This window comes from Homo sapiens, chromosome 1 (genome assembly GCF_000001405.40).
Source record: "Homo sapiens chromosome 1, GRCh38.p14 Primary Assembly".
In the NCBI taxonomy this organism is placed as follows: domain Eukaryota; kingdom Metazoa; phylum Chordata; class Mammalia; order Primates; family Hominidae; genus Homo; species Homo sapiens.
In genome coordinates, this window is record NC_000001.11 from 224,753,822 (window position 1) to 224,773,777 (window position 19,956).

The 19,956-nt window shown below is 44.2% G+C and overlaps 2 long non-coding RNA genes across 2 annotated transcripts; one reads left to right on the forward strand and one right to left on the reverse strand.

Moving 5' to 3' along the window:
• Window positions 1-5,524: 5,524 nt before the first annotated feature.
• Window positions 5,525-9,147, reverse strand: LOC124904523 (uncharacterized). Its single transcript, XR_007066898.1, has 2 exons — window positions 9,020-9,147; window positions 5,525-8,939 (listed from the first exon to the last, which is right to left on the reverse strand). It is a non-coding gene; the product is annotated as an uncharacterized LOC124904523 (long non-coding RNA).
• A 2,221-nt stretch (window positions 9,148-11,368) lies between these two features.
• LINC02813 (long intergenic non-protein coding RNA 2813) lies at window positions 11,369-19,518 on the forward strand. The gene is made up of 3 exons (XR_001738495.2): window positions 11,369-13,332; window positions 18,819-19,232; window positions 19,352-19,518. It is a non-coding gene; the product is annotated as a long intergenic non-protein coding RNA 2813 (long non-coding RNA).
• The last annotated feature ends 438 nt before the right edge of the window (window positions 19,519-19,956 follow it).

Here is a 19,956-nt window from a genome sequence, read left to right on the forward strand (position 1 = left end):
TGTTTTATGACCTAGCTTGGGAGGACACTGCACATGGGCATGGTAGCTAGGAGGTGAGGATCAAGGGCCGTCTTGGATGCTGGCTACCACAAGGCATTTACTTATGGGCATCAGAGTCAATTTTATGAACATCTGGGAGCCCAAAATCAGTTTTATAGGTGGACTGGGAAGACAAGAACTTGTGGTCTCTTCCATCCCTGCTTCTTTTTAGTTCCTTTTCTTCTCCTAGTGCTCATAGCTTAATATGACCACTTCAGGATCCAACTTCATATGTTTTTCAGTTCAGCATTAGCACCAACCATAAAAACAATGTGTTTTACTATAATTTTTTTTTGAGACAGGGTCTCACTCCGTCACCCAGTGCAGTGTTGCAATCTTGACTCACTGCAGCCTCAACATCCTGGGCTCAAGTAATCCTCCCACCTCAGGCATGGTGGCAAACGCCTGTAGTCCCAGCTACTCAGGAGGCATGAGCCATTGTGCCCGGCCTCACTAATGTATTTTACAATTTTTATTTTTGCAATGGCTAACATTTCTTGAGCAGTTGTTTGTCTATGCAGTATGTTAACTACATTGCTAAAGTGATTACATTTAATTCCAAAATCATATGCCTATTTTGCAAATGAGGAAACTGAGAATAAGTGATATGTGAAAGGTTACAGGGCTAAAATTCTGTACCATTCATTTCAAGTTTCTTTACATAGAATCTCACTGGCCATTGCCAATCAGGTTTCCATATGTGGCCAGAAAGATGCATGTCATAGCAGAGGCTTCCCAGTTCTGAGGCTGTGGGCACAAATACTAAGCTAGATGAAAAAATTGAGCATGGCAGGAAAGTTGATTAGCATATCTGCTACAGTAAAAAATCACTTTGTTAAGCCTAAGACCTTGCCTTAATTGCCGTCATTAGTAAATAGAAATCTGCTTGCAGAGTGTGTAGATAGCAGCTAAAAGCATTAAAAGTACTCTGAAAGATTTTCTCTCAGAATATCAGCAGTTTAAATGTATGCTACTTTTTTTTCATGTTAATTTTTTGCCATCCTGTGGCTTGCTTTACAGCTACTGAAGAAGCAGGGGGTTTTTGAAATGAGATACAAGCAAAAATTCTAGAGGATGGGTCTATGGTGGGTGTGTTTTTCAAATATACCTCTAGCTCCCCCACCAAGAGAGCAGATAAGAAGCCAGGATATCCCCATAAGAAGTAAAAAAAAACTTAAATACCAAGTACTTCATCCAACTCTATCATATTTTTGTCTCATTCCATCTTTATATATATATATATTTTTGTTTTTCCGAAAACCAGGGTGGCGAATATCAGGAATGTGGATAAGTAGGAGACAGGAGTGTTCATTCATTCATTCATTCATTCATTCAACAAACACGTGTTGAGCTTTAGTGTGCAAGGTGTCATGCTGGGGGATGGTGTGTTCAGAATTCATTCGCCATCTTTTGATAGTATTTACTGAGTACTTTTTAGCTCCCTGACACCCTGATAGGTGCTGTGAAGGTTTAGGAAAAAACAAGTGAGTAAGTTAAGTGAGACAAGCTTCTTGTTCCAAAAATATCTTGAAATACCATTGGGAAAAGAGAATCAACATGAACCAATTGAGGAATGAAACAAAGTAGTCATTAAGTGCAAATTTTTATGGTACAATCTCTGGGAGCACCAGGAATTTTTAGAGGAGGCTGATGAGAAAGCTAGGAGAGCTGGGGAGACTTCTTGGTGGAGGTGTCACTGCAGTGGGGTTCTGGTAACATGCAGACCATGCTGCTGTTCTCATAGGGGGCTGCTTCAAAGAGCCAGGAGAGAGAGATGGGGTCGTAAGTAAGAAAAGGGACACTCTGGAGAAAGTCCCACCACTCTGACTTGGTTTCACCCTGAGTCAGACATTTTCCTGTGTACATCTCCCCTTCCCATTCCCCTCCGAAAGTCCAGAGCGAAACTGGGTGCTTGTGATGAACACTCAAGTTCAGACTAGGCCAGGTTAGAACCTTGTGAGCCCTGACCCTGCAGCTCACACTCCCGACTGGACTCCAAAGATGAGAATTCCACCCAGAGTTGGGGACAATTCCCTGGAGCCTTTGGTCTTTCTCTGGTTCTAAGTGAGGGGCCAGGGGCCAGGATGGGGTGGGGTCAGAGGAGAGTAACCAGGGAATATGGCATGACAGCACAACTGGAAGGGACTGGTATTATTCAATCCGGAGAACACAGGAAGATGAAATAAAAATGATTCTTAATTACATCAAAGCTCTTATACAGTGAGAGGCTGGTGAATTGTGCTGTTTTCTCTGAAGGCATTTGAATAAATCAAAAGGGCCATTATAAAACAGTCAGAAAGTTTGGGGTTAGCACTGTTGGGCTTCCTCCCAACCTTTGACATGACCTGACACCTTGGCACAATCCACCTACGAGGGGACCTTTAGGATTTTCCTAGGGTGGCCAACCATCCCAGTTTGCCCAGGACTTTCAGTGCTAAAACTGGGATGGTCCTGGGCAAACCAGGGACCAAGAACACCTCTCGTATACTTACCTTCTCAGTTCTGCTGCTCCTCCTGGCCCTGGCTCAGGTGTGGTCCCCTCTAGCACTGCCCAAATAAGGGAATTGTGACCTCTCCAGATGGAAGAGGGTAGTCCCAAATTGAACTGAGAGGGAATTTGCCCAAGAGCACATGATCCGATGGATCAGGACAGATTCCTGGTCATAGCTGGAACCCACTGTGCCTTGCAGCCCACTATGGAGGGCACCAAGAGAATAAAACTGGAATAGTGAGCAAAGTCTGATGCCAGGGGTGTTGGGCACAAGGAAGATGACACTGCAGAAAATGAATCTGTTCTTTTTTTGTTTGTTTGTTTTGAGACAGAATCTCGCTCTGTCACTGGGCTAGAGTGCTGTGGTGTGATCTCAGCTCACTGCAGCCTCCAACTCCCTGGTTCAAGGGATTCTCCTGCCTCCGCCTCCCGAGTAGCTGGGATTACAGGCACGCACCACCACACCCTGCTAATTTTTAGTAGAGATGGGGTTTCACCATGTTGGCCAGTATGGTCTCGATCTCCTGACCTTGTGATCCGCCCATTTTGGCCTCCCAAAGTGCTGGGATTACAGGTGTGAGCCACACACCTGGCCGAAAATGAATCTATTCTTGTGCCCAATTACCCCAGGGCAGGAAAACAGCCCCTGACAAAATGAGCAGATCCGCAGACTCCATCTTTCTCATTCTCACACGAGTGAACTTAGTCACGAATCTCGTGGCTCCTGGGAGACTTGTCAGGCACAGTTTCTGACAGTTAACAAGACTGACTTTCTGCTGACAGAACTTACTTTTTAAGGGACCAAATTTCTTTGGAAAGTTTTAATTTTATCTTAAACAGACATAAGTTTTTTAATTTTTTAAATTTTATTTATTTACTTACTTATTTTTAGACAGTCTCACTCTGTCATCCGGGCTGGAGTGCAGTGGTGCGATCTCAGCTCACTGCAACCTCCGCCTCCTAGGGTTCAAACGTTTCTCCTGCCTCAGCCTCAGAGGTAGCTGGGATTATAAGCACCTGCAACCATGTCTGGCTAATTTTCATATTTTCAGTTGAGATGGGGTTTCACCATGTTGGCCAGGCTGGTCTCGAGCTCCTGACCTCAAGTGATCTATCCGCCTTGGCCTCCCAAAGTGCTGGGATTACAGGAGTGAGCCACTGCGCCCGGCCTGATTTTATTTTAATTGAGTAATTTTAATTACACTTAAGCATTTCTAAATGCTTGGCAACATGCTGAGTACTTCATTTGAATTATTTTACTAAACTCTCGCAATAATCCTATAGGTAAAGTGCCAATGTTTTCCCTGTATTTGCAGGTGAAGAAACTCAGGTCAGGGAAGAGATCACAAGGCCAGCAAGCTGGGAATCAGCCAGTGAGTCTGGCTCCAGAGCCCAAGTTTTGAACTGTGCCGTGGGCCTGAGTTAACTTGTCGGCTGAAATGAGTTTTAGAGATTCTGGATTTTACTTTGATGTCCAAGAGATACCCTCTATTTATAGTTGGCTTCAGCAATCAAGTTAATAACCAATGACAATTATATTTAGCTAATTTTATTAGAAACTATCAACAATCCTAAAAATAGTCTCTGTTGGTGATCATGTTGATTCTCATTTTTTTTTTTTTTTTTTTTTTTGCCCTGAGGCAGAGTCTCACTCTGTTGCCCAGGCTGGAGTGCAGTGGCGCAATCTCGGCTCACTGCAACCTCTGCCTCCTGGGTTCAAGCAATTCTCATGCCTCAGACTCCTGAGTAGCTAGGACTACAGGCGTGCACCGCCATGCACGGCTAAATTTTTTTTTTTTTTTTTTTTTTTTTTAGTAGAGACAAGGTTTCACCATGTTGGCCAGGCTGGTCTTGAACTCCTGACCTCAAGTGATCCTCCTGCTTTGGCCTCCCAAAGTGCTGGGATTACAGGCATGAGCCACCATGCCCGGCTGTTGATTCTCCTTTTTAAAGGCAAGGACGTGGTGACAAAGAGAGGCAAAGCTATGATTCTATTTAAAGGATCATTACTGTGATTTTGAACAATTTAAGATTACACTGGGGATGAGACTTTACTAGTTTAAATGCTATTTTTCATGCATATAATTGAAAGGAACCAAGCTTAGGCTGTCAGAGGAGATGAGAGAGTGATTTGGGACCTGAGTGCTCACTTCAGGAAACTCACAGCTACATCCTCCATGCTTCGACTTCAAGTTCCCAGACAGGATGCAGGAGAAGGAACTCGGCTGGTGCAGGCCTTTAGTTTGAAAAATTTTCAATGGTTTGAGCCAAACCAAGCACCCCAGATTACATGCCAGTGATAAAACTTAACTGGATTGTCTAAAACAGTCTAGTCTCTGGGAAAGCCTAAAGTTTTAAGACTCGGCATGACTATGTGTCAGATCCTACACAGGGGACAAGGATGTAAAGCCAAATAAGACATAGTCCCTGCTTCCAAAAACCATACAAGAACTTGTTTCCTCTGAGGGGAGCATGCACATAAACAAATGAAACAATGCAGCTGTGACTAAGATTTGTCCTGGCCCTAGGGGAGCAGATGGGAGGGCCTCCTAAACCAGCTCAGGGGTGAGAAGGCTTGGGATTAGGGAGAGTATTCTGGAGGAAGGGGGCCTGAGCTGAAATATGCACTTGGCCCATCTTGGAGCATCTGTAGCTACCCAGAGTTAAGAGTAGTGAAGAGCTTGGGCTCTGAAGTCAGCTGGAACTGAGGCTGAATCTTGGCTCTGCCAGTTATTAGCTATGTGACTTAGGTGAGCTACTTGTCCTCTCCAAGTCTCAGTTTTCTGATCTTATAGGAAGATGATAATACCAACTTTTTTGGAGGTATTGTGATGAATCAAATAATGTACGTGAAGCTCTTAGCTTCACAAGAAGTGCTCAATTGATGGCAATGTTATTGTTGTTATATGTTTGTCTAAGAGTCCCATTGTTATAGGACCAACAGGTTCATGTGCTCCCTGTGCAGTAATAGACCAATACACTGAGACAGCAATGTTTGCAGCAGAGAAAGAGTTTAATGATTGCAAGGCAGCCAAGAAAGGAGATGGGAGTAGACCATCACATTCATCTTCTGGAGGATTTTTGAGCTGAGGTTTACAAGATAATTGTGGAGGGCAAGGGGCTGGAAAACTGGGGTTGTGGATTGGTTGGGGTAAGGAGGATGAAATTATTAGGATGTGGAAACTGCATTCTTTGTGAAGTCAGTTTCTCATGGGGTCCTTCAGACCAGCTGATGTCAGTAGTGTCACATGGTGTGCAGGACCTAAAAGAATATCTCAAATAGAAAAATTAACATTTCATAATGTTCAAGTTGTTATCTATAGAGCAGTGATGGGGAACTCTAATCTAGGCTCCATGTGATTCTGAGGCAATAGGCATCAAACAGCTCTGAGGAAGTGGGCTAGAGAGCAGGCTGGCCTCATGATGAATGCTGAGTGTGCTGCAAGCTGGATTTATTTTCATTTCTCTCCCCCTCTTCTTCCATGATTAACTTTATAAAGTTTATAGGGATGGTTTCACCATGTGATGGCTGCTGGGCAGGAGCTCAGTCTCCTGTGTGGGCAGCCAGGGCTGTAATTTCAGAAGAGTCAGAGTCACCAGATCCCTCTGGAGCCCCTAAGCCCCTCCTTTATCCTCTCTTGATGTTAGAATGCTATTGACACAAGACAAAGCCTTCCATTTTGTAATCCCATGAGCATTAACCAGGAAGCCATCCAGGAGAACACAATTTCAGAGGATAAATCTGCTCCAGGCTTTTTTTTTCCTCAAAGCAGTTTCTGCAGAAACGGTGTTACTACCACGTGGGTCATGGTGGAAGGTGGAAAGACAGGAAAAGAATGAGGAGAAAGAAAGTTGGGGACACAGAATCAAAATTCCCCTGGATTTGTCCAGGTATATGCTTGGTGGTAGTGTGCTTGGGAGGAAAACAGACGTGGGAGCTGGCAGGGTCACTCCCTGGATGGCTTGGTGGACTTGTGCTCCTGGCTGCCAGTCAGGTCACATCCTAGGGTCCTGCAGCCTGAGCAAGTGGCCAGCTCAGTGGGGGCTGGGAGTCTGGGCTCCTTGGGATGCTCCCTTGCTTATCTTGCTCCCCTTGGCCAGGCCCATTTCCTCATTTTTCCAAAGCTGGAGTCCAGGGATATGGGGACAGACCGGTCAGACAGTGGCTCCTTCAGCCAAAGATTCTGTTGCCAACAGAAGCCTGAAGGATATGATACCAAAGGGCTGGGCAGGGGTGTGGGTTTTTCCTGATGGCAGCCTTGGGCATCGATTTATCTAATTTCTTTGACATTTTCTTCCAGTATTTCCCCCTCTTGGGGTAAAAGATTTCCCTGAATCACTGGTATTGCTTTCCTGCAATGGACTCTAGGGTATTGGCCAGTGACTCGCAAATTGCAACTGAACCAAGAAGACCTCATTTCTGGGGTGGCACTGTCCCAGTGAAGATCCTGGTCCTGCCCATGTCACTATCTCTGTCAATTCCCAGTCCTGACCTTCTGGTCTTTCATTCTCATACAGCCTTAAGTTGTGCCGTAACACCTCTCTCCACTTGGAGTTGATTGCTTTTCTGTCCTTTGAGGCCAAGTGGAGTTATATAAATCACCCATTGCAGGTGAGCAGGAACAATATTTTACTGGAAGGGCTGACCTGTATCCAAATAGCCATGTCTAAGATGCAAAAGTGGTGGATAAAAATAAGCCATGCTCATTAGATGGCTCCCTGCCCTATATAGCTGCTCAAAAACCTACGTCTTGTTCTGTCCAAGTGTAAATAGTCTCCCTATTTAGAAATGGCACAGTGGGAGGTAAATGAATTGGCTAGGAGCAACCAGTCATAACGCATCACGTTGAGAAGCTTAAAAACTCTTTATGTGAAAAATACTAATGCTGTGAGTTGCTAAAAGCCAGGCTGTGTGCTAGGAGCTTTACATACATTATCTTATTTAATCCTCCCACCAACTCTGCAAGGTTCTTCTTATTCTATTTTACAGATGAGGAAAGTAGGCTCAGCGAAGTTAGGTTAAGCTTGCTCAGGGTCATGCAGATAGTGATAGTGAAATTGGCAATCAAATATTGGTCACTCTTGTTGGGACAAAGCCCAGTGTTCTTCTCACTGGACCTCACTGCTAGGGATTGGCCAGGATGGTGAGGTTATCAGGTGCATTTAGAGACCTGGTCTCTTATTATTGTCAAATGACTCTTGGTCTGATCCTTGGCTGAAAGGTGTTCTGCAGTGAGGCTGCTTCTATGGAGAATAAAGCTTGAAATTAAATTCCCTCTTGCCATGGTCATGTCCATCCCTGGCTTCCCTGGATCTCAGCCCGTTGGCAGGGCTCCTGTACCCTAAATGATGGCCCAGGTGGTAATGACACTATTGTACCCTGCCTGCCTCTATGCACTGATCTTTCCTGGATTTCCTAATGAGAATGGCCATTGGGATTTTGAAGCAGTCCGATAAATAGTGCCCGTATTCCCTGTCCATATTCTGAATCAGAAATAAGGCAGAGAGTAAGGAAGCTGTAGGCCAAATCTCATCTTAGTATAAATAAGTGCTAGATTGGAGAATGTAGTTTACTGCAGGAGCAAAATGAATTTCTGTTGCAGGGGAGTAGGAAACAAAATCCAAGATGAAGGTTGGCTTGCAGAGGTTTATTAGGAGTCCTTTTGGGATCTATACCAATAGGAGGGGAAGGAATGGAAGCAGGATTGGCAGAGGGAAAAGTCAAGCAGTGCTGCAGTCTTATCAAAGATCTCAACCGATTCTGTGGAGCATGTTGGGTCTTTATACTTTTTTTGTTGTTGTTTTAATCTAGTCTTCATTTTTACTGAAGTTACCATGATGAAAAACTCTCAATTGTTATCCTAGGGTTACTACAAACAACAGATCCTGGCTATGACCACTGCACCAATTGCCAGCTACTATGAGGCAATGACTTACAATCCTTCTGGCTTTAAAAAAATTATTAACTAAAAAAAATGCTAATACTGCTATATGTGAATATTTTAGTTTGAAATAGTATCTGTTCATATTTTACTTTGGAAGATGACTCTCTGACACCCTCCTAAATTAGTTATACCGTCTTCTTTATTTGCAGCACTCACAGTTGTATTTATTACTTTTTTCATTCACAAATAAAAATTTTATACATTTCTTGTGTACAACATGATATTTTGAAATATGTATACATTGTGGAGGGGCTAAATCGAGCTATTTAACATATGCATTACCTCACGTACTTACCATTTTTTGTGGTAAGAACACTTAAAATCTACTCTCTTAGCGATTTTCAAGACTCCAATAGATTGTTATTAATGAAAGTCACCATGTTGTACAATTGTTCTCTTGAATCTTTATACTTCTATATGGGCTGGTCATTGGGTTCAGGCTGCTTCTGAAAAGGAGGTGTGACCTGGGGAGGCAGCAATCTTTGGTCAAAGGCAATTCCCAGAGAGGGCTATTCGCTGAGGGCTGTCAGCCAGCAGCACTCACCATGGAGGGAGAGAAGACCTTCAGTCCCCAAGATGGATCTTGGAGGCTCATGACAGCATTCACTGCATGGACCTATATTTCATACATTTCCGGAAGCAGCATCTCCAGCATTCCCACAGCCTTGTTCCCTGGCAGGGTAAAATAAAGATTAGTGGGACAAACTACAGCTTCCATCACAACTGATACTCATTGTCTCTCTCATCCTCAGGAAACACCTCTGCTGGTTGAGTCACACTTCTTGCCGGTTGGTGTGACCTAGACCCTCATCTCTAATGACTCCAGTCCCTGGACATTATGCCTTCCTCAGGCTCTGGTTGATGAACTTGCCCATTGATCATCAAAACTGGTCAGAGGAAGTGCCAGGAGGTGCACAGTGGATCATCTGGGTGCCAGATTTCTTTGTCCCTACTGGGCACAGCAGCTGTCTTTCCTCCTGCTGGTCAGGGCCAATTTCCTCTGCCAAGATGGTGACTCCGCTTCTTGTGAGGTTCCTTGGCACAGGCCCCAAGTGTCCTGGCAGCATGTGCTACATCCTTTGGTAGGAAGGTTCCCCCTCTGGAACCTGGACCTCTAAACCTGAAAAGCCCAGAATAGAAGGGATAGGAAGCACAAAGTCCCCAGTGGGTTACAAGCAGTGACAGTAAATGGGGCCATGCCACTATAGTTTCCTACTACTGAATCCTGGAATTAGGTTTGGTAACTCACGCAATCATAGCCCAGCTGGGCCTGGGAAGAGTGAAGCAGGGTGGATCAGAGTTACATCAGCTTCCTCCTCCTCCCTTACCCCTGACTTCGTTCTCATACAAGGATAGAGTTCGCTCCTGGAAGAACAATGGAGGATGTGTACTATTTGGGGACAGTTCCTTTTTTTTTTTTTTTTGAGACGGAATTTTGCTCTTGTTGCCCAGGCTGGAGTGCAATGGCACAATCTCAGCTCACTGCAGCCTCCACCTCCTGGGTTCAAGCGATTCTCCTGCCTCAGCCTCCTCAGTAGCTGGGATTACAGGCATGTGCCACCATGCTCAGCTAATTTTGTATTTTTAGTAGAGACGGGGTTTCTCCACGTTGGTCAAGCTGGTCTCGATCTCCCGACCTCAGGTAATCCTCCTGCCTTGGCCTCTCAAAGTGCTGGGATTACAGGCATGAGCCACTGTGCCATCTGACAGCTTTATTCTTAAGAGGAAAAGGGAGCAACTGAGCCAAGCATTTCCAATTTGCTCTTCCCAAGTTAATCGATGAGGTATCACACGACTTTCCCTGTGGCAGAGTGAGTGCAGTGGTAGAGAGATGCTGACAGTGTTGTGCTAATGGGGCTCCCTCCACTTGGAAGGAAACAGCAAGAATTGTGAAGAATTTTCTTTCTTCAAAAGCTCCAAAGTGTTGTTTATTGAGCACTTACTCTTTGCCAAGCTTCCTGCTCAGTGTTTTTCTTATCTTCACAACAGTCCTTTGAGGTGGGGGCTATTTTTGCCTCCAGTTTATTGATGATTAAGTAAAGTACAGGGAAGTAAATAAATTGGCTGAGAGTCTAACCCAGTCAAGCCCCCAGTCAGGCCCCCAGGCCTGGATCAACAATGGTTGACCCAGGCTCCGAACCACTAATTTAGTAGCTCTTTTGCCGGTTTGCTTAGGAATCATCTGGGGTAGTTTGTGATAACTCAGATCCTGGACCCACCTTCAAAGATTCTGATGGGCTTGAGGCAAGGCCCAGAAATCTGAATTTTTTAAAAAAATTCAATTTAATTTAATGTTAAGTTCTGGAATACATGTGCAGGACGTGCAGGTTTGTTACATAGGTAAACATGTGCCATGGTAGTTTGTTGCACCTATCAACCCCATCACCTAGGTATTAAGCCCTGCATGAATTAGTTATTTATCTTGATGCTCTCCCTTTCCCTGCACCCCCCATGACAGGCCCCAGTGTGTGTTGTTTCCCTCCCTGTGTCCATGTGTTCTCATTGTTCAGCTCCCACTTATAAGTGAGATCATGCAGTGTTTGGTTTTCTGTTCCTGCGTTAGTTTGCTGAGGATAATGGCTTCCAGCTTCATTCATGTCCCTGCAAAGGACATGATCTTGTTCCTTTTTATGGATGCATAGTATTCCATGGTGTATATGTACCACATTTTCATTATCCAGTCTATCATTGGTGGGCATTTGGGTTGATTCCATGTCTTTGCTATCATGAACAGTGCTGCAATGAACATATGAATGCATGCATCTTTATAATAGAATGATTTATATTCCTTTGGGTATATACCCAGTAATGGGATTGCTGGGTCAAATGGTATTTCTGGTTCTAGGTCTTTGAGGAATCACCACACTGCCTTCCACAACGGTTGGCCTAATTTACATTCCCACCAACAGTGTAAAAGCGTTCCTATTTCTCCAGGAATCTGAATTTTTAACAGGTTCCTCTTTATCCCTCTGCCAGGAGAATATGATTTAAGTGACATGACTTCCATCCTTTGAGAAATACTTCATGATACTATACTTTCTTCTCATGTGTAAGCCCAGGGCATGAAAATGAATAATTGCTACCCAATAATTGGGCATCTTTTCTGTTTCCACTGCTGGAAGGAGGGGCAGATGGGTTGGAGGAGCACAGTGTGAGGATAGGCAGGCTCAACTTGCTTATGGAGCACAGATCACCAAAGATAATGCAGCACACCGTTGGCAGAGGGCTAAACCATGTGGCTCAGACTGGAAACACACTGAGAATTTAGAAAATGGAGCCACCACTTTAGTGGGACCTGAGTGGTCAGCGAAGGAGTTAGTAGGCGAGCTGGGCTGGTGAAGGGGATACAGCAAGTGGGAGAAGGACAAGGAGGAGCTACTTGGAGAATATGTCTAAGGGAAGAAGGTTAGACGTGGGGAGCTGGAAGAACAGATGTGATATGGGAAGAAGAAGAAGCAGAGACACATGAGATCATGCTGGCAGTAAGCAGGTGCACAGTAGCACGGGGGTGTCAGCCTCCTCATTGTGGAAAGCATGAGCCTTAGCCCCAGAAGAGCAAGAAACATCCACAGACAGCCTGAGAAACCATGAAGACCAAAGAAGGGACAATGGAGCAGCAGCATCCAGTGGATGTTCAACAAGCATGTATTGCGCGTCAGGCATCGAGCCAGTACTTACGATGCAGAGAGGACTAAGACTCTGTTCCCACTCTCCATAAGACACTACCAAAGTGTAGAGTTAGGGAAGACAGCTTCAATGTGTTCATTTCTTTCATATATTTAACTAAGCTTTTTTTTAAGTTTTATTTTCTAAGCACATAAGGCAGACTTTGTTAGCTTTGAGGGGAATCTGTGCTGGGTAGGGAGGTGGTAAGAAAAGGATGAAAAGAGAAACAGTCTTTTCTCCAAGCAAGTTAATGCTTGAATAGGGGGAATAAGACATAGTAGGATGTAGACACTAAGACTGGATTCTAATCTTCTGGGATTCCAAGTTCTTCTGCATGAGCTTAATGACAATGAGATTGCTTGTGACTTCACTCCTCGCCTTGACCACACAGATGGAAGGTTTTGGCTGTGTTAGGTCAATGCATGGGGAAAGGTGTCAGCTTCCCCACCGTGCAGTCAGTGTTGTGCAAAAGCAGAGGCAGGATCTGAGGGCAAGACAAACTGGGGGCTCCTGCTTGATTGTCTCACCTGCCCCTCTTTGGCAGCGGGTTGTGTCCCTGGCCTTTTAGACCTAAGCAGAGAGGGAATTTCAAGTCAGGTGGCGCCTGTACAGTCTATGGAATAGGTAGTTAATGAGGTCTGGAGTTGATGTTGCCTTCCTCTCCTTCTCTGATCACTTTCATGTCACTCACCCATCCCAGATGCCATGGTGTTCTCAATGCCCCAGTTCTGGGGTTTCCTGCCCCACTCCACCTTTCCTTTCCTGATCCTCAAGAAAACTGACTTCTTTTCCTAAGCCCCCCGTCTCCACTTTGTGAGGGGCATTCTGAGCATGGAGGCTAATCAATATGTTCTCAGTATCCAATGGAAGCCTAACGTGCCACCTCTTCCAAGGGCAGTGCATTTTAACTCAGACCCAACGCCCCAACCAAATGAAAGATCTCTAATCTGGAATTTTCAACAATGGGGCTGGTGGGTCAGGGTGCACCAGATCTCAGGAGGTTTATCCAGAAGACTTTCAAGTGCCCCAAGAGGCTGAGTGGTCCGCCAAGTGCCTGCATGTGTGCAGTCAGGAAGCTTGAGTCTGGGTTCTGCCTGGGGCAAGTCACTACAACTCCCAGAGCCTCATTTCTGCTATTCGTAAAATGGAGAAGACACCTCCTATGATATCAAGTCACTGACTTGTTCCCAGGTAAAAATGAGATGGAAAGCTGTTTTGTGAACCAAAATGCATGCTTTTGTTACAGTGCGGGGATGCTGGCTGGCAACGGCTGTGAAGTGCAAGGCTGGGGGAGGCAAGAGGGTGCTGGTGGGAGGAGAGCTGCAGAAGCAGAGTAATCTGCAGAGCTAAAGCAGGCTGTGCAAGGAAGGGGCAGGTGGCCTTTCCAGAAATCTGTACAAGGCTGTCTAATTGCACACAGAATGGGATTTAATGCAACCTGCATGACAGTTCCCTGCCTCCAGCCCCTCCTTCCATCACCCCTGCAGCTGATGGAGAAGTTGAGTTTAGGAATTAAAAGGGTGATTTTGCAGGAGCAGAAGTTATTTCTGCTACCATGTCTCTTATCATTAAAAAAAGAATAGAGAAACTTCCAGAAACGTTATTTTGAGGAGAGGGGCTTGGTTCACCTGCTGACAATGAGGCAGTGAGAAGAAGACACTAGAGAAGGCAGCTCTACATGCACTGTAGGCCTGAAGGACCCCACAAGACTGCCCGCTTGGGCTGACCTTAGCAAAGACTGGACCAGCTTGGTAATTATTCAGAGACTATTAAGTGCATGTTGCCTGTGGATTAATTAGCTTAGAAGAATGAAGGAATTAAGTGGCATCTTAACATGATGGGAGGCTTTACGGTATTATGAACCACAATTAATCTAGCCTCTCTGGTAAATTTGTAAGCACACTTAGCAAATAATTGCATCCAATTATAATTGCAATTATGGCTGGAGGTAGCTGCAAGTGGTCTTAATACAAGCAAGTCCCAGTCTCAAGGATGTGTAATTCACATCAAATAGGGCATTTCAGACCCAGTGGGGCTGGGGGAAGGAGGAGGGGAAGAGCAGGAGGAATTGAACAAGGATGCAAGAGAGAAAAATGAAGAAACAGAGAGGGCATAACAATGTCCTTTCCTCTGCTGATTGAAATTCACTACAGAAGCAAAGAAACTGTGAAAACAGATGGAAATGCAGAGTAGACAATAAAGATTTAATCCCCAAATGAAATTAGTGAGTGGATCTTCCATCACAATGAACACAATGAACCTGTATTGACCTCTGAATTAATTTTCATCTCAGTTGAAGAAGCACTTGTTCTTTACCAGCTATCCAGAGACGACACACACAGTTGCCTTCATTTGGGTTGTGTTGATCCCAGGTTTCTGGAAAGCTTGTCCTTAGTCACTTCAAAGGATTATAGTTTCTACTTTTTGACACTCGAAGAATAATCCGTTCAGCAGGGCGAAGAGAAAACCTTGCTGACTACAATCAGACAATGTTGTTAAAAGTCCTTCCAATAAGCTGTCTCATTTAAAGCTACATGAAACCTGAAGAAAAGGGCTGATAAATTTGGAACATACGGTCTTTCCACTGTGTCCAGCATGGGTAACAATGATGCCCTAGTAATACCTTAAATTATAAAGGGATTTCTCCTTAGGAAGATGTTTAGAGCTAGTGGTTTCCACCATTAGAATCACCCAGAGAGCAAAAAAAAAAAAAAAAAAAAAAAAAGCCAAATGCCCCCACAGCTCCACTCCTCAAAGATTTTGATTTGATTGATGTAGGGTAGGTTGCGAGCATGGGTATCTGTTAATCTGCCCAGATGGTTTTTTATACAGCTGAAGTAGGGAAATGCTGACTTATAGAGTTTACATGACTGCAGTTCCTTATTGCAGAGGCTGGGCTCACCCTTAGACGTTGATATTTAGTAGGTTTAGGGCGGGCCTGAGGATCTGCATTTCTAACAAGTTCCAGGGTTGTGGTGATGCTGTTGGACCTAAGGAACTCTCTTTGAGAACCACTGTCCTATAGTATTGTATATGGACCCTGGCCCTTCAGCTTTCTGATGGTTAAACGTGGCCATGCCCAGTGGCCTGCAAAGGTGAACTATGGCTACGGTTCCAGCACCACTTTGGATCCTCCCTGAGTTGCTCCAAATTGACTTCTTTTCTCCTCTGGGTTCTACCTGGCTCCTGACCCATGGCATCCTTTCCCGCTGACCAGCAGCGTTTGGCTTTTGGCTTGGCTTCCCTGGCTTAGACTCTCTCAGCACTTCTTCAGGTGTTGGCTTGTTCATTCCCCTCTGACTCTGCTCCTGGATGGCTAAGAATGGATTCTTGGCCGGGCTCTGTGACTCATGCCTGTAATCCCAGCATTTTGGGAGGCCAAGGTGGGCAGATCACCTGAGGTCGGGAGATTGAGACCAGCCTGAACAACATGGAGAAACTCAGTCTCTGTGAAAAATACAAAATTAGCTGGGCATGGTGGTGCATGCCTATAATCCCAGCTACTTGGGAGGCTGAGACAGGAGAATTGCTTGAACCCAGGAGGCGGAGGTTGCGGTGAGCAGAGATCACACCATTGCACTCCAGCCTGGGCAACAAGAGGGAAACTCCGTCTCAAAAAAAAAAAAAAAAAGAATGGATTCTTATCCCAAGCTGCTGTCCCTGGAGCAACCCTCCAGCACTGGCTCAGTTGCCATGCCTCCTTTGCCCCTACAAGGGCTGAAAGGAAGATGGATGGTGACAATGCAAACAGTGAGGATACTGGTGTGTTTCTCAACATTGTTCTCATGTTTCTGAGAGTAATCTTATATTCCCAATAACAATCATAATAATACTGATAGCTAAAGCTCTTTGAATCCATACCATGTGCCAGGCATATGGTATGCTAAATACTTACACGGATAACTTCCCGTTCTGTTTTCTTGTTTGCCCAACTTTACTGTAAGTCACCTGAGGCCAAGGGTTATGTAATACACAGATTGCTGCTGTAATATAATGGAGTGTCTTGTGTGTCGTTTAGTCAGTCCCCTCACTTTATAGTATGTAGTACTTCTCTGATTGACTTGAGAAGTTAAAAGAGAGAGGAAAATATGAAGCTATGTAACAGGACAGTCATTTGCCACTGGAAATTGCTGTGAATGTTCATGCTACTCCCACCAGCTGGGAGCATGCTGTTGACTTCCTGTCTTCTTGTGTAGTGGATACACCGCTGAGGCTGCTGTGCTGAACACAGGGCTGGTTGCAAGGTGGAAGGGAATAATTCCCTTCACCCTCTATTAGGGATCCACTACCCTCTGCAGTAAACACTGACAGCATGCATAGAAGTGACATCTATAACTACATCTCTCTTCATCTTGGGACATCTGAAACATGAAGAAAGCCCGATATTGATAGCAATTGTGTGGTTTAGCTGATAGGCAAAGACCCTCAGATTATTTGGTAGTCAAAGTTCCGGAGTTGCTCCCATCAACTCTCCGGGCAGCAAAACCTTGTCCTAAGACACAGAGTGAATGTCCAGTCTCCACTCTAATTTTGTGTTTACATATTTGACGTGTGACTCACCCTTGTAATGGATTCGGGCTGTTTCTGAGAGTGATATCTGAAGGGCTTTCAAGTAGAGATAGTTTATAAAATTGGCTAAGGTGACATTAAGGAGAATGACTGTACATAAATTTCAAGTTAGTAGGTTTTAATTAAAATTTTAAAAATTGTGCTATGGGGCAACATTTGATTCCTCTGTTAGACTAAAGTAGAAATAACTTTTTTCTGGCTAGGGAGTACCAGTCTTAACATGTATGGAAACAATCGTAGCTGATTCTATTTTCATTTTATTCTGTCACATCAGAGACTACATGTAGGGGGATCCAGGGATGGAATTCCCCTACAATGGGTCTCCTAATTAATCCAGAGTCCTCGTAAAAGATCACAGATCTTTTCTTCAGCTCATTCATTCAGTCTAACCAGCATGACAGGCCACCTGTGCACTGGGCCAGCCCTCTGGTTAATAGGGTCAGATATCTGGACAGCAAGCTAATTTGAAACCCCAGTAGTGTGAGCACCTCAGGAGTTAGATTCTAAGGTAGGACTGGGAATGGGTTAGAAGGGAGTACCTTAGTCAAAATTTTTGTATTCAATTTGGGTTAGAGTAAGTGAATGGAATCGAACAGAAAAGATTCTGGAGAATGGATGGCAACTAATAACATGCGTTTTTAAAAATCTTGGGAGACTTCTTCACATTGTTACCTATTGTTTGTTATGCTTCGTCAATTTAAGCCTCAGTGAAGTTTTAAAAAATGTTTTAAGGCATGGAATTTTTTCAAGCTTTTAAGAAACAAAGACTTCCATGCTAATTTAATTTATAGAAGACGCAAAGCCCCCAATCTGTTCTACAAAGCAAAACAAAAGACAACACAGAAAGCAAACAACCAGCTTCACTTCTGAATATAGACAAAGACATTCTCAATAAAACATTAGCAAATATAATGCAACCTTATTTCCCGTAATGCAGTGGGGTGGATGCCAGGAATGATAGGAGTATTCAAATTCAGCAAATACATTCATAGAGCTCATAAGAAGGACCTTAGTGGTGTTGAGGGCTGTTGGGACTACAAAGTGGGAGCCCTTACAAGGTCTTGAGCACAGTAAGGTGATGTGATATGTGGTTAAGTGGACTACTTTGGCTGCTGTGTGAAGAAGTGATTTAAGGGAGGCAAGAAACTGGGAGTGAGTTAAGAGGTGTGGTGAGCAGAGTAACGGCCCACAAAGATGTCCACATCCAAATCCTCAGAACCTGTGAATATGTTATTTTACATGAGAAGGGGCAATTAAAGTTACAGATGGAACTATGGTTGCTAATCAGCTGACCGTGAGGTGGGGAGACAATCTTGGATTATCCAGGTGCATAAGGAAATCACAACGGTCCTTATAAGTGAGAGGAAGGCAGGAGAGAGGGAGGCAGAGTGATGCAGTGTGGGAAAGACTCGCCCAGCCATTGTTGGCTTTGAGATGGAAGGGACCACGAGCCATACAATGCAAGGCATCCATAGAAGCTCAGTAAGGCAAGAAGATGACTTCTGCCCGGAGTTTCCAGATGGAAAGCAGTCCTGCTGACACCTTGATTTTAGCCCAGTGAGATCCACTTCAGACTTCTGACCTCCAGAACTGTGAGAACATAAATCTGTGTTGCTTTAAGTTGCTCAGTTTGAGGAGTTTGTTGCAGTGGAAATAGGCTACTAACACAGGTTGGCTACTGCAATAACCCAAGTGGGAGTTGGCAGCGGCTTGGATGGGAGTGGTGGCAGAGAAAGTGCCAGGAAGTGGTTGGATTTTGGACATGATCTGAAGTGAAGTCAATGAGATTTACCGACAAACAAGGTATTTGATTGGGTTTGAAAGAACGGGAAGTCAATGTGAGTCTCAGTGGAGAGGAGACTTTGAGTTTCCGTAAAGAGGCAGTAGAATTTGAAAAAGTGCCCCTAAGAGACTGAGCACTTTCTTTTTCCCCCTTCCAGCCCCACCCCTCATCATACCCAAAGACCAGTGATCCGGACTAAAACCATGCCCAGTGGGTTTTGTGGGCTATTTTTCTAGACCTACCCCCAAAGGTTGGCCTTTAAGATATTGTCACTTCGATGAAAAGAATGATCAAGAAACAAATTATTGAATTATGCGATTTACAGCATCGTTCCTATCCTCCTGACTGTGAAAGAAAGAGAATCCTTGAACCTCCCTCCTCCCTTTCTTTCCAAGGGAAACTTTGAATTTGTTAGCTCAATGCCTGGGCAGGAACATCTACTGAGAGAGGCCAGAACATTTCCATCAAAGAGGAGGCAAATATCTAGTGAGAGAAAAAAGTAGTTCCAAGACTGGGGGCTGGGGCACCAAAAGAAGTTGAGAGCCACCTGCATGGTTTACTGGAGAAGTGTTGGCAGCAAGCTGGAAATGAAACGGAGAGAGACTCTTTGATCCACAAGGTCTGTGAGCAAGATTGAAAGGAAAGAAAGGAAAAGAGGGTTTTAAGCCACGTTGTCATGGATTGGAACTGTATCTTCTGTGATATTCTTTGAGAACATCGGTAAACATTGGAATTGCTTGTAAGTATATAGATGAAAAACATCTTATGCCCTATAACTCATTTGTTAATCCTCCTGTGCTACCCTTCTCTTTTCCAAATTGTAAGTCCTCAGATTGTCAGTCTGTTCTGTTTTCTTAGGTGCTAAAAAATGAAATTACATTGCTTAGCCTTGAAACTGTGCAACCTTTCAACTGCTGATGAAAACAACCTCAGCAAGATGAAAATTTCTCCATTTTCCTGAAACTATTCTGCATCATAAAATTCATTGCAGGTGGTACCTTTAAAAATAAAAGACTTGTAAAAAATGTTTTTGCAATTCTTAATGGTTGTCTTACTTAATAATTAGTTGTCCTGGTAAGGGAATAATGTTTAAGTCGATATCTCAGTTTTCTGAATGGTGTCCGTGTTGTAAGTTTTCATTGATACTTTCTTCTTCCACACGAATGGACATAAAGATAGGTAAAACCTAAGACTTTGTAGGTTTCTTATTTTGAACAAAATGTTTGGGTGTCTGGATCTCATCCTTTCTTAGCAGACACTTGTGTTTGCTGAACCATGTTTCCTAGAATATAATGCTGAGCAGAGACTGGCCTCTGTGATCAACTGATGGGCTCAGAGAAATAACAAGTTTCATAAACCTGGGAGAGAATGGGATTGAGCTGACCTCTCCCTACATCCTGGGGAGGTGAAGAAGTCATCCTGAGCAGTAGATTTCCACCACTATTCCCACCCCAAGCTGCATG